We start from the raw sequence: 13,145 nt of genomic DNA on the forward strand, positions 1-13,145 counted from the left end.
AAAGGGATCAATTCAACAAGAAGAGTTAAATATCCTAAATATATATGCACCCAGTACAGGAGCACCCAGACTCATAAAGCAAGTCCTTAGAGGTGTACAAACAGACTTAGACTTCCACACAATAATAATGGGAGATTTTAACACACCACTGTCAACATTAGACAGATCAACAAGACAGAAAGTTAAAAAGGATATCCAGGAATTGAACTCAGCTCTGCACCAAGCAGACCTAATAGACATCTACAGAACTCTCCACCCCAAATCAATAGAATATATATTCTTCTCAGCACCACATCACACTTACTCCAAAATTGACCACATAGTTGGAAGTAAAGCACTCCTCGGCAAACGTAAAAGAACAGAAATTATAACAAACTGTCTCTCAGACCACAGTGCAATCAAACTAGAACTCAGGATTAAGAAACTCACTCAAAACTGCTCGACTACATGGAAACTGAACAACCTGCTCCTGAATGACTACTGGGTACATAACAAAATGAAGGCAGAAATAAAGATGTTCTTTGAAACCAATGAGAACAAACACACAACATACCAGAATCTCTGGGACACATTTAAAGCAGTGTGGAGAGGGAAATTTATAGCACTAAATGCCCACAAAAGAAAGCAGGAAAGATCTAAAATTGACACCCTAACATCACAATTAAAAGAACCAGAGAAGCAAGAGCAAACACATTCAAAAGCTAGCAGAAGGCAAGAAATAACTAAGATCAGAGCAGAACTGAAGGAAATAGAGACACAAAAAAACCCTTCAAAAAATCAATGAATCCAAGAGCTGGTTTTTTGGAAAGATCAACAAAATTGATAGACCACTAGCAAGACTAATAAAGAAGAAAAGAGAGAAGAATCAAATAGAAACAATAAAAAATGACAAAGGGGATATCACCACCGATCCCACAGAAATACAAACTACCATCAGAGAATACTATAACACCTCTACACAAATAAACTAGAAAATCTAGAAGAAATGGATAAATTCCTCGACACATACATCCTCCCAAGACTAAACCAGGAAAAAGTTGAATCTCTGAATAGACCAATAACAGGCTCTGAAATTGAGGCAATAAGTAATAGCTTAACAACCAAAAAAAGTCCAGGACCAGATGGATTCACAGCCCAATTCTACCAGAGGTACAAGGAGGAACTGGTACCATTCCTTCTGAAACTATTCCAATCAACAGAAAAAGAGGGAATCCTTCCTAACTCATTTTATGAGGCCAGCATCATCCTGATACCAAAGCCTGGCAGAGACACAAACAAAAAAGAGAATTTTAGACCAATATCCTTGATGAACATTGATGCAAAAATCCTCAATAAAATACTGGCAAACTGAATACAGCAACACATCAAAAAGCTTATCCACCATGATCAAGCGGGCTTCAGCCCTGGGACGCAAGGCTGGTTCAACATACGAAAATCAATAAATGTAATCCAGCATATAAACAGAACCAATGACAAAAACCTCATGATTATCTCAATAGATGCAGAAAAGGCCTTTGACAAAATTCAAAGACGCTTCATGCTAAAAACTCTCAACAAATTAGGTATTGATGGCACCTATCTCAAAATAATAAGAGCTATCTATGACAAACCCACAGCCAATATCATACTGAATGGACAAAAACTGGAAGCATTCCCTTTGAAAACTGGCACAAGACAGGATGCCCTCTCTCACCACTCCTATTCAACATAGTGTTGGAAGTTCTGGTCAGGGCAATCAGGCAGGAGAAGGAAATAAAGGGCATTCAATTAGGAAAAGAGGAAGTCAAATTGTCCCTGTTTGCAGATGACATGATTGTGTATTTAGAAAACCCCATCGTCTCAGCCCAAAATCTCCTTAAGCTGATAAGCAACTTCAGCAAAGTCTCAAAATCAAGATTTTGTATCTTGATTTGATACAAAATCAAGATTTTGTATCTTGATTTGATACAAAATCAAGATTTTGTATCTTGATTTGATACAAAATCAAGATTTTGTATCTTGATTTGATACAAAATCAAGATTTTGTATCTTGATTTGATACAAAATCAAGATTTTGTATCTTGATTTGATACAAAATCAAGATTTTGTATCTTGATTTGATACAAAATCAAGATTTTGTATCTTGATTTGATACAAAATCAAGATTTTGTATCTTGATTTGATACAAAATCAAGATTTTGTATCTTGATTTGATACAAAATCAATGTGCAAAAATCACAAGCATTCTTATACACCAATAACAGACAAACAGAGAGCCAAATCATGAGTGAACTCCCATTCACAATTGCTTCAAAGAGGATAAAATACCTAGGAATCCAACTTACAAGGGATGTGAAGGAACTCTTCAAGGAGAACTACAAACCACTGCTCAATGAAATAAAAGAGGATACAAACAAATGGAAGAACATTCCATGCTCATGGGTAGGAAGAATCAGTATCATGAAAATGGCCATACTGCCCAAGGTAATTTATAGATTCAATGCCATCCCCATCAAGCTACCAATGACTTTCTTCACAGAATTGGAAAAAACTACTTTAAAGTTCATATGGAACCAAAAAAGAGCCCGCATTGCCAAGTCAATCCTAAGCCAAAAGAACAAAGCTGGAGGCATCACACTACCTGACTTCAAACTATACTACAAGGCTACAGTAACCAAAACAGCATGGCACTGGTACCAAAACAGAGATATAGAAAAACAGAACAGAGCCCTCAGAAATAATGCCACATATCTACAACTATCTGATCTTTGAGAAACCTGACAAAAATAAGCAATGGGGAAAGGATTCCCTATTTAATAAATGGTGCTGGGAAAACTGGCTAGCCATAAGTAGAAAGCTGAAACTGGATCCCTTCCTTACACCTTATACAAAAATTAATTCAAGATGGATTAAAGACTTAAATGTTAGACCTAAAACCATAAAAACCCTAGAAGAAAACCTAGGCAATACCATTCAGGACACAGTCATGGGCAAGGACTTCATGTCTAAAACACCAAAAGCAATGGCAACAAAAGCCAAAATTGACAAATGGGATCTAATTAAACTAAAGAGCTTCTACAGAGCAAAAGAAACTACCATCAGAGTGAACAGGCAACCTACAGAATGGAAGGAAATTTTTGCAACCTACTCATCTGACAAAGGGCTAATATCCAGAATCTACAATGAACTCAAACAAATTTACAAGAGAAAAAACAACAATCCCATCAAAAAGTGAGCAAAGGATATGAACAGACACTTCTCTAAAGAAGACATTTATGCAGCCAAAAAACACACGAAAAAATGCTCATCACCACTGGCAATCAAATGCAAATCAAAAACCACAATGAGATACCATCTCACCCCAGTTAGAATGACGATCATTAAAAAGTCAGGAAACAACAGGTGCTGGAGAGGATGTGGAGAAATAGGAACACTTTTACACTGTTGGTGGGACTGTAAACTAGTTCAACCATTGTGGAAGTCAGTGTGGCAATTCCTCAGGGATCTAGAACTAGAAATACCATTTGACCCAGCCATCCCATTACTGGGTATATACCCAAAGGATTATAAATCATGCTGCTATAAAGACACATGCACACGTATGTTTATTGCGGGACTATTCACAATAGCAAGACTTGGAACCAACCCAAATGTCAATCAATGATAGACTGGATTAAGAAAATGTGGCACATATACACCATGGAATACTATGCAGCCATAAAAAATGATGAGTTCATGTCCTTTGTAGGGACATGGGTGAAGCTGGAAACCATCATTCTCAGCAAACTATTGCAAGGACAAAAAACCAAACACCGCATGTTCTCACTCATAGGTGGGAACTGAACAGCGAGAACACATGGACACAGGAAGGGGAACACTACACAACGGGGACTGTCGCGGGGTGGGGGGAGGGGGGAGGGATAGCATTAGGAGATATACCTAATGTAAATGACAAGTTAATGGGTGCAGCACACCAACATGGCACATGTATACATATGCAACAAACCTGCACGTTGTGCACATGTACCCTGTAACTTAAAGTATAATAATAATAAAATAATAAAAAATTAAAAAGTTCAGTGTTCGAGTTCTCTCTTTGTCTCTTGGCCTCTGCGATGCCTGCAGAAACCCAGTCGCAACCCATTCGTTCATATTCCTCTCCTTAGAGCCAGGAGTTAGCACCCCAAGGGCAGTGCTGAATCCCTGGACAGGACTCAGGATAAATGCATTCCCCCTGCTGTCTCTCAGAGGCACAGCTGTGAAACACATTCTACCGGCTTCCTGAGAGCTTCCCAGGGAGTTCACGCCCCAGTTGCTCACAGAAGTGACCAGCTCAATGACACCCCCTTTTGGTGGATTTTTCTTCTCTATTCCATTCTTCCCTCTTTTATGAGCTCACTTTCTAAAAGAGGCTACCTGCACAAACGCCCATCACAGGCTCAGCTTTCTAAGAAAACTCTGGCTGGGACAGTGGACTTTCCAGAATGGAATGTGGGCAGTATTCTAAAATACTAAATAAAATGCAATAGGAAAATCAAAGGGATGAATGTCACATGGCATAAAGAAGGAGGTAGAGGACATCTGCCTAGCCTGCCAAAACAAAACAAATTGACAATCAACCCCGGCCACCCAGGAGATGAGCTTTGTCACAGCAATTCTTCCTCATATCCCAGAAAAAAGAAGAAATGAGGACAGTAGAATCAACTGTGACATCCAAAAAAGGAAAGCTGCCCAATCTCTTCTCTAGAATGTGTCAACTGTGATTTATGAAATGACATATGCTATTTTTATATTGCAATGTTTGCTTATCTATAGGTAAGAGCTCACTATTTCTTATATCATGTTATAATTATATTCATGAAGAAGATGACCATTGCACAGACAAGTACACTGTGAAGAACCGTGAGGAGAGATTTTAACCTACTTGCAAGCTAACAAATGAGTCTGCCAGTTTGTTTCATGGTTGCGGCAGAAGACTCCTGGGTCAAAGCAAAGGACTGTATTACTTACAGCATAGCAAACAGTATGAGCATCAGCATATTTGCATCAATTTCCTTGCCTCCAAGTCCTCTGGGGGAATATGGATGGGCACAGATGGATGTGTGCACACGCAGTGGGTTACATGACAAGTGAGGAGCCCTGAGCTTAGGGAATTCAAAGTTTTCTATGGGCAGCAGGCTTTGCTTGCCCTTTGGCAACACTGCTGAAATAAATCTCTTATAGTTCAAGATGTATTGATAAGCGTGTTAAGCTTATTTTTATATATGAAGAATAACAAATTGTTATTTTCTATGGTTATTCACAGTATCTCAAAATCTATGTGATATTTTACTAGCTTAGTTTTATTATAATTTTAAAAGACCATTTGGGTTCCTTTGTTAGTGGACAAGAATGAAAAGAGATAAATTAGTTACTTTCTTAAAGCTAAGCAACATCATTTTCTATTGAGGAACCCAAAACTTTCCTAACTTTTACAAATGTTTGTAAATTGTAGGTTCTGTGACAGCCTGTGCTATAAAATTTCATAAGCTTATGAGAGCTTTCTTAACACAGCTGTGGACTTTTATCCTGGTGTTGTACAGCAGTTCAAATTAGCACAAGAATCATAAACCCTATATTTGAACAGCTATATAATATTATATATTTATTTTCCCATTTGATGTTGCATTACTTTTTCTACCAATCTTCTTACAATAAATTCATAAATATCTTAATTATGGCAAATGTGCAGTTCTTAAAGATGAGAATCATCAAACATATTTCTATTACAGAGATATATTCTTCAAAAAGTCATCTAAAATAGAAACCCAACTGGGAGACACCTTAAAAGGTTATCTGCCACAACAGAAGCTTTGCTTAAAATACTGTTCTCTTTGTATTTGTGTTAATAATTGATTTGTCTTTGAAATTAAATTAGGAATCTACTATATCTAGTGGTCTTGAAATCAAAGCCCCCTCCCCATTCCTTATCTTCACTGCTGTGTTCAAAAAGACTAGACTCCAGGGACCTGTCCAAAGCTGGGTTAAATATAGGATGTCTGAGAGACACCCTTCTTTCATAGTTCGAGGGTAAGCATGTAGCTGTATGTGTGTGGAGGGGCGGGTGGAGGAGGTTAGCTGTATCAGGGTAGGCATAATACTATATTTTAAATCCCTCCTTCTGTTATAAATGTAAGCTGAAAATAATCTCTGCTCCCAGCGGCAGCAATCGTAAACTCGCTTAGTTCTGCCTGTAATTTAATTTAATTTAACATGTGACATTGAGACAATGTTTCTTTTAATTCACATATAACTTCTTCCTCACCCACATTCCAGCCAAATAAACACATACTTATAGAAAAATGTGACTGTTTTCCTGGGCAACCCAACAATTCAACTGTCCCTAAAACACCAGGTTCAATTTAAACTCTATTAGCTTGTCTGAGGGCTAAGATATCTAAAAATCCAAGACAAATTATCATTTGCATATATGGAGGCAGCTCTGATTGAACAGATATCTAAAACTGATAGGTAATATTTTAGATCAAATCACTCCATCAAGTCAAAGACTAATTCAACTGTTTGTTCAGTTTCCAAAGGAATCCTTCCATTTTGGTCTAGTGTTCCATAAACATTGACTTTACATGAAAAGGACAGTGAAGAGATCTCTTGAACCGGCCAGAAAGTTGAAGCTCAAGGTTGCAGAAGATTTGAGCTACCAAGTCCAAGCCTTCTAAAAGATTCCCAATATGTATATATATCATTTTCCTAACTCTACATTTGCCTGAGAAGCAATGACATTCAATAAACTTTTTTCCACGGGATTTAGTTACAAAATAAGTTAAGGAACTACAAGTTATATATTTCCTGGAAAAATATACTATTATACATATATATTATATATTCAAAACTCCGTAAAGCATATAAAGTATAAGCATATACTGAGTTATAAGGCATAACTCAACATGTTATTTTAACCTAAAATTTTCTTAGGGCCTCAATTGCAAATGCTTTAATTGCCAATGGTTCATAAACACATCTGTGAATTAGAAGCAAGTAATATCCTCTGTTTTTATACTCTCAAAAAATGTGATTATACTTAATCAAAAGTAATTCAAACCACAGCCCAGGCAATACATACTAGACCACGTCTTCTTGGTAATTTAATTCTTAGCAATAATTTTAATTGCTGCCTAATTAAGTAGGCATGCTACTTAAATCACAATCCTGTAGTTATAAGGTTAAAACTATTTTAAAATCTCAAATGTTTTTAGATTTCAATCACTCTTCGTATTATTACAACAAAAATGTTCATTAACTGGAACACATGCAGTATCATTTTTTAGCCCCCACTTTATGATATTTTTTAATTTTTATTACCAGAGTAGTCATTTCATTATAAAATTTTAACCAAGCTAAGCATATACTCCATTTTTTAGAAAACTAGATTTACTGTAGTCCTGTTAAGGCTATCATAGTAAGCAATGAATTTCACACTTGTCTTTTATACAGTACCACAACACATCAAGCAGATATATGAATTCCTTGACAAAATACATTTAAAACAAACAATTCCATGCCTTATATGTCAAGTGGAAAAGGAATATTTTTTCTACAGTGACAGAGCAGACTTGACATGTGCACAGTCATGTACAACCAAGCGTTTGCAAATGCTCTTACAACGTGGAGCAACCGGGCCTAGGGACAAGCAACCTTTCAGCTAAGAGTCTCGTCAAAGGTGCGGAAGCCCATTACAGAAGACCAGATAACAGTCAGTCTGACGGGTTCATTCAGATATTCAAGCTTTAAAAAGTACTTCGAAGACTGATACAGATGTCCTAGGCAATAAACTTCCCAAAAAGAATGGAGAACAATCCCAGTGCCAATTACATCTTTGTCATTCAGAAATCCAGGCTAATTTGATTTAGAGACATATATAAATGAACTGTTATTTCTCATAATTGTTTTTTTTTCAGCCTCTTTATTTTTAATCTACATCTCTTAGGTAAAATGCATCAATTTAACTACACTTACTTATTCTGAGTTTTTCTATTGGTCCATGTTTCCTTTAAACACAATTTTGAATGGTTTTTTAAAGTAACCATTTGATTTTGAAACCAATTTACAGAAAACATGGAAGAACTATGCTAATATGCTGTATCACCCCTGAATACTTCAATGTACATTTCCTACAACAAAGATGTTCTCCTATATAACCATAATATGATCATCACAGTCATCATGGATAAAGTTCCAATATTTAATCCCCAATCTTGTTCAAGTTTCACCAATTCCCAATCATGTCCTTTATAACATAAGCATTTAATGCAGAATAGTATTTAGTTGCCTTGTTTTCTTAGCCTCTGTCAATCTGGAATGCCTCCTTCCTCACTCCACTCAACCTCTGACAACTTGCTATAGGTCACCACCAGTGCTGTCTCCTGTCTCTCCAGGTCCCCACCCTTGCTATACTGTGGATGCTTTCCTTACCCTGCTGGTTTCTGAATGCTCTGCCATGGTCCTGGGCCTCCCCACTACCCAGCATGGATGCCTAAGCTGAACTGAATGACCTTGGACTGAATTGTTCAAAAAGAGAAGGGGAAAGGAAGAGGAAGAAGAATGCCAAGTAATTTGATTTTTCTTTTTTCATGATCAAACCAATGTCTTGGAATTGATTATCATTTCCATGGGCTACTTCAGCTCCGTACTGTTTGTATAGAGTTTGGTGAAAATGAATAAAGGCATGTGAACTACATTTTTTGTTTTTTTTTTTTTGTTTTTTTTTGAGACAGAGTCTCACTCCGTCACCCAGGCTGGAGTGCAGTGGCACGATCTCAGCTCACTGCCTCCTCACAGGCACCTGCCACCATGCCCTGAAATTTTTTCATATTTTTAGTAGAGGCAGGGTTTCACCGTGTTGTCCAGGCTGGTTTCGAACTCCCGACCTCAAGTGATCCACCCGCCTCAGCCTCCCAAAGTGCTGAGATTACAGCTGTGAGCCACCGTGCCCAGCCTGAACTCCATTTTTTATAGAGTACCATTTGACACTAAAATTAAGAGTCTGTTACTCATCTGCAGAATCTCTCTTAAAATGGTATTACTAAAAGGTCCAAAATGAAACATCTGTAAAAATAATTATTCCTACACTCTGTGAGATCTCTTTCCTGACACATTTCACATCTAAGTGAGTTTCCTAACTAACCCACACACACTCTATAGTAGGCTTACCCTTCTTTCCCCAGGCTGGCTGGCGAACTTGCAAAACATAACCATTTAGGGGAAAAAATTGAGGCAATTAAAATTAAAAGTGTTTTAGGCTAAGTAATGAATAAATTAACCCACTGAAAAGTTACATCAAAGGCTATTACTCAGCATTTTACCAATTACAGGAATTTCTGCAAAATCTGCCCAGCCATTTGTTTGTGTATCCCTGGGATCAGTGCCCAGAGTTCAATCTTTCTCTTGATGCTTCCTGTTGTTTTCAGGGACTCAATGAGAGCAGTAAGTGACCTTTCACTCAGTGCAAGTCTATGGGCACTGAAGTTACGAAAATATTTCCCTTCATGCAGAATCTTCCTAACAAAGCTTTCCCATGTATTTGTCAGGTCAAATAACATTCAGATAAACTGCACATAATCCCCAAAATGCCAAATGTTTAGAGAGCTTTTTTTTTTTTGAGACGGAGTTTTGCGTTTTGCTCTTGTTGCCCAGGCTGGAGTGCTATGGTGGGATCTCGGCTCACTGCAACCTCCACCTCCCAGGTTCAAGCGATTCTCCTGCCTCAGCCTCCCGAGTAGCTGGAATTACAGATGCCTGCCACCACGCCCGGCTAATTTTTGTATTTTTAGTAGAGACAGGGTTTCACCATGGTGGCCAAGCTGGTCTCGAACTCCTGACCTCAGGTGATCCACCCACCTCGGCCTCCCAAAGTGCTGGGATTACAGACACGAGCCACTGTGCCCGGCCTAGAGAGCTCTTCCCATGAAGAGCCATTTCATGCCATCATCAACAGGCTGCCTTCGTGGGTGGCCAATGTGCTTCTGGAAAACCAGCTGTGAATAACGTGAGCAACTCATGGTGTCTTCATGAGAAGGAAACTTTTAGATGTCCTTATTGACTTTCTTCTTGGTATTGAAGGTGGTATAATTATTATAGTTACATAGTTTTATCTGGAAGAATTACTTGATCTAAAAGGTAATTTAAAATTAGTAAAATTTATTAGATATGAGGATACTAAGTTTCATCAACGAAAGAAGACTGAAAACACCCACAGTAGTAGTATTGAAATTTTACGTGTCACTCAGCAACTCGCGAGAGTCCCGTCTGGTGCTGAGTCCGTTTGGAATATCTGTCCCTGCCCTCCCCTCCTCCAAAAAGAATGTTCACTGTAAATGAGAAGAGCTTAATTTCTATGGGCTTTGTAATCCTTCCACTGGATTCCAAGCAAAATAACTATCAATACAACTAATCCTGAGAATAAAAAGTAATCACAACTATGCAACAAAAACAGGAAAGGTGGTGGCAGGATCTCAGATTTCATTTTTCTCCAGGAAGGTCTTTTTGAAGCCCTGTTTATTCAATAGTAAGAGTGACCTCTAGTGACTTATTTTGTTGTATTTTGCCAGTTGATTGGTCAATTACTCTAGCATGCCTTTCTATAAGTAACTCATTTATGTGTTTATTTAAGCCAAACGGCAGTTTCCATTACAAGACCCAAGGATTTTAATTTAAGTAACAACGTTTTATTCACAAAGCCCTCTCACAAAAGCAGATTAAAGTTGAATCTGAAACACGGTACAGCATCTGACCAAAGCAATCCGGAGCTTGTTTTTTCGAAGGGCACACCAAGTGTAGGATTAACTGAGGCACAACTGAATCATGATGCACAGTGAGTGCATGAACCCATGTGCGTGCCCTGTGTGTGAAGAAACAACCCACCCTTGAGCCCACAGGCAGAACAGCACTGAGCTACGGCAAACTTTTCATGACAGCTTAGGAAAACTGCTGAAAGCTACCCTTGGTTATCCTGCAATAATCTAAATTTCCAAACATGGCCACTAGCATTTATTGGAACTTATTTCGAAAGAGATTTTGGTAGGAGAGGGCTGAGGCTGACAGCAGGGAGATGCCACTGAAAGAAAAATAAAAGTGATTTGAGAAGGAGGAGGAAGACATTTTAAAAATTCTAATCTCATGGTTTCATTAATCAAGAAAGAAAGACGACTCTCTGATAGAGATTTACTCCAAGCCGAAAAAAAAATGTGCAATGTTGTGTAAACATTTTTATGTGTGATAAAATATGGGTACATTATGTTTTGCTCATCTGTCTGGAATATCATCATTATATTAGAATCATAGCCCATTCTAGAAATAAAAGCTTCCTAGGTGTTTACCAAATTAAGTAAAATAAAAAACAGGGAACCCGATGGCAAATTAAATAATGTAAAATATTAGCATCCAGAGAGGAATCATTTTCAAGATCACCTAAATGACTGGCTGAGTTTTGTCTTTAACCAAGAACTTTCTACTGAGAAACGAAGCCCCTGACAGGGGTGTTCAAGTGTTATTCCCTTAGTAGTTAGGGCAGGTTATTAATTTAGTTTCGCCTACAGGCACTCTGTCCCTATACTGCGTGGAAGTTAATTAGCATTTTAACTCTGAAGCTGCCAAGGTCGGCAAAACTGTAAGCTGCTAACATCTAAGTTGATGCAGTATGATGTAATGTCTGCCAGTTTTTTCCCTGTTAGACTTAATTCCTACAAAATATTACAATCCTAAAAAGGAATAAATGACAGCATTTGCAGGCTAATCTCTTATTAAGATGCTCTTTTCAGGTTTTACAGAAACGGCCACTTTCTCAATGAATATTCAAGAACATCGATTAAAAAGTCAAAACATGCATGGTATATCTTAGACTCCCCCACAAGAGGAAAGTCTATTGTAAACAAAATCGTCTTTTTCGGGTTGCAATTCCAAATATTTTTTTAAGGTTCTTCATGTTCAGGAGCATGTTCTGCAATTCCACTTCCAAATATTACCGATAATAAAAAAATACAAAGTTTTCCAGACAGCCTAGCGCAAGTTTTAAACCATTTGCTGTACTTACGTGGATTTCCTGCTCCTACGGGGCTCCAAGTCTGAGTGGGGAGAAGCAGCAGCACCTTGAGGACGGCCCAGGCCACTGAAGCCATGCTCACTTCAGCCAGGCGCCCTGAGACCCGGGCACGGCGACGGCCGCTCTGCGTCGTTCCTGCTCTCACTCCCGCTCTCACTCCCGTCCCCTGCGCGGCTCCGACGCTGCTCTGTCTCCCCTGTCCAGTCTCTAGCTCTCTTCCTCACGCACTGGCAGCCTCCCTCGGCGCTGCAGACCCTCCCGCCAAGCCGCGCCCGGCCCCAGCTGCGTCTCCGAGGTCGGCCCCGCGGGAGCCTGGGGGCCGCGCGGCGCCGCCCCAGGCACGGAGGCGGCAGGTTCAGGCGCGTCCCGGACACTAGGCGCGGGAGGCGGCCGGCACCAACGCGAGTCAAGAAGCGAGCGGGAGGGACGCCCCAGCTCCGCCTGGCGCTCTCCTCCCGTTATACCGGCAGCTTCCTCCGTCCCTCTCTCCCACCGGGGCGGGGCGGCCGCGGTGCACGGACTCGCGCCAAAGACCGCGCCGTCAGCCTCCGCCTGCAGGTGGAGAACGCCAGGCTTTATCACTGCGCTGTTCACCCAACGCAGGGGCTGCACCCAGGAAAATGCTGTCCTGTTTGAGTTCAAATAGGGAAGATGGGGCAGAAATAACTCTGCGGCGTGTACTCGGGCAGACGCGCGCACACTTTGATTTTGCTAGGAATTCTGACTTGTAGAGAACCAAGCTGGGAAACCGGGCCAGGAGCAGGGAGAGGCCGGTGAGCCTGGGTTCTGCAAGTGCAAGCCTTTATTTAAAGTTTTAATATTTTGTCTATCATGGGTTTTTTTTCTTTGCGATTACATTCAATTTTAAAACTATTTCATTCATTCAGGATTAGCGTTACTTAACAGTTGCTCCTGAGACTAGTGCGTTAGTCCCTTCACCCTAGTCCTGGCCTTGGTGGAAGTCTAAAATTTACATTTTATTCCAGCTTTCTGTCCAAAAGAGCAACCCCTGCAAGTGTAGGATGAGGAGCTCAGTCCAGCAGCAGCTAACACTGCACTCCTTGCGCACCTG

At 39.7% G+C, this 13,145-nt stretch overlaps 1 protein-coding gene across 1 annotated transcript in view; it reads right to left on the reverse strand.

The window, feature by feature from the left end:
- CNTNAP3B (contactin associated protein family member 3B) overlaps nucleotides 1–12,481 on the reverse strand; it is a 238,891-nt gene extending 226,410 nt beyond the window's left edge. Inside the window, exon 1 of the mRNA NM_001201380.3 lies at nucleotides 12,065–12,481. Within this exon, the coding sequence (NP_001188309.2) occupies nucleotides 12,065–12,149 (85 nt within the window). The 5' untranslated portion in view covers nucleotides 12,150–12,481. The remainder of the gene's footprint in view (nucleotides 1–12,064) is intronic.
- Between the last annotated feature and the right edge of the window lie 664 nt (nucleotides 12,482–13,145).

The sequence above is a fragment of the Homo sapiens genome, chromosome 9, assembly GCF_000001405.40.
Source record: "Homo sapiens chromosome 9, GRCh38.p14 Primary Assembly".
In the NCBI taxonomy this organism is placed as follows: Eukaryota; Metazoa; Chordata; class Mammalia; order Primates; family Hominidae; genus Homo; species Homo sapiens.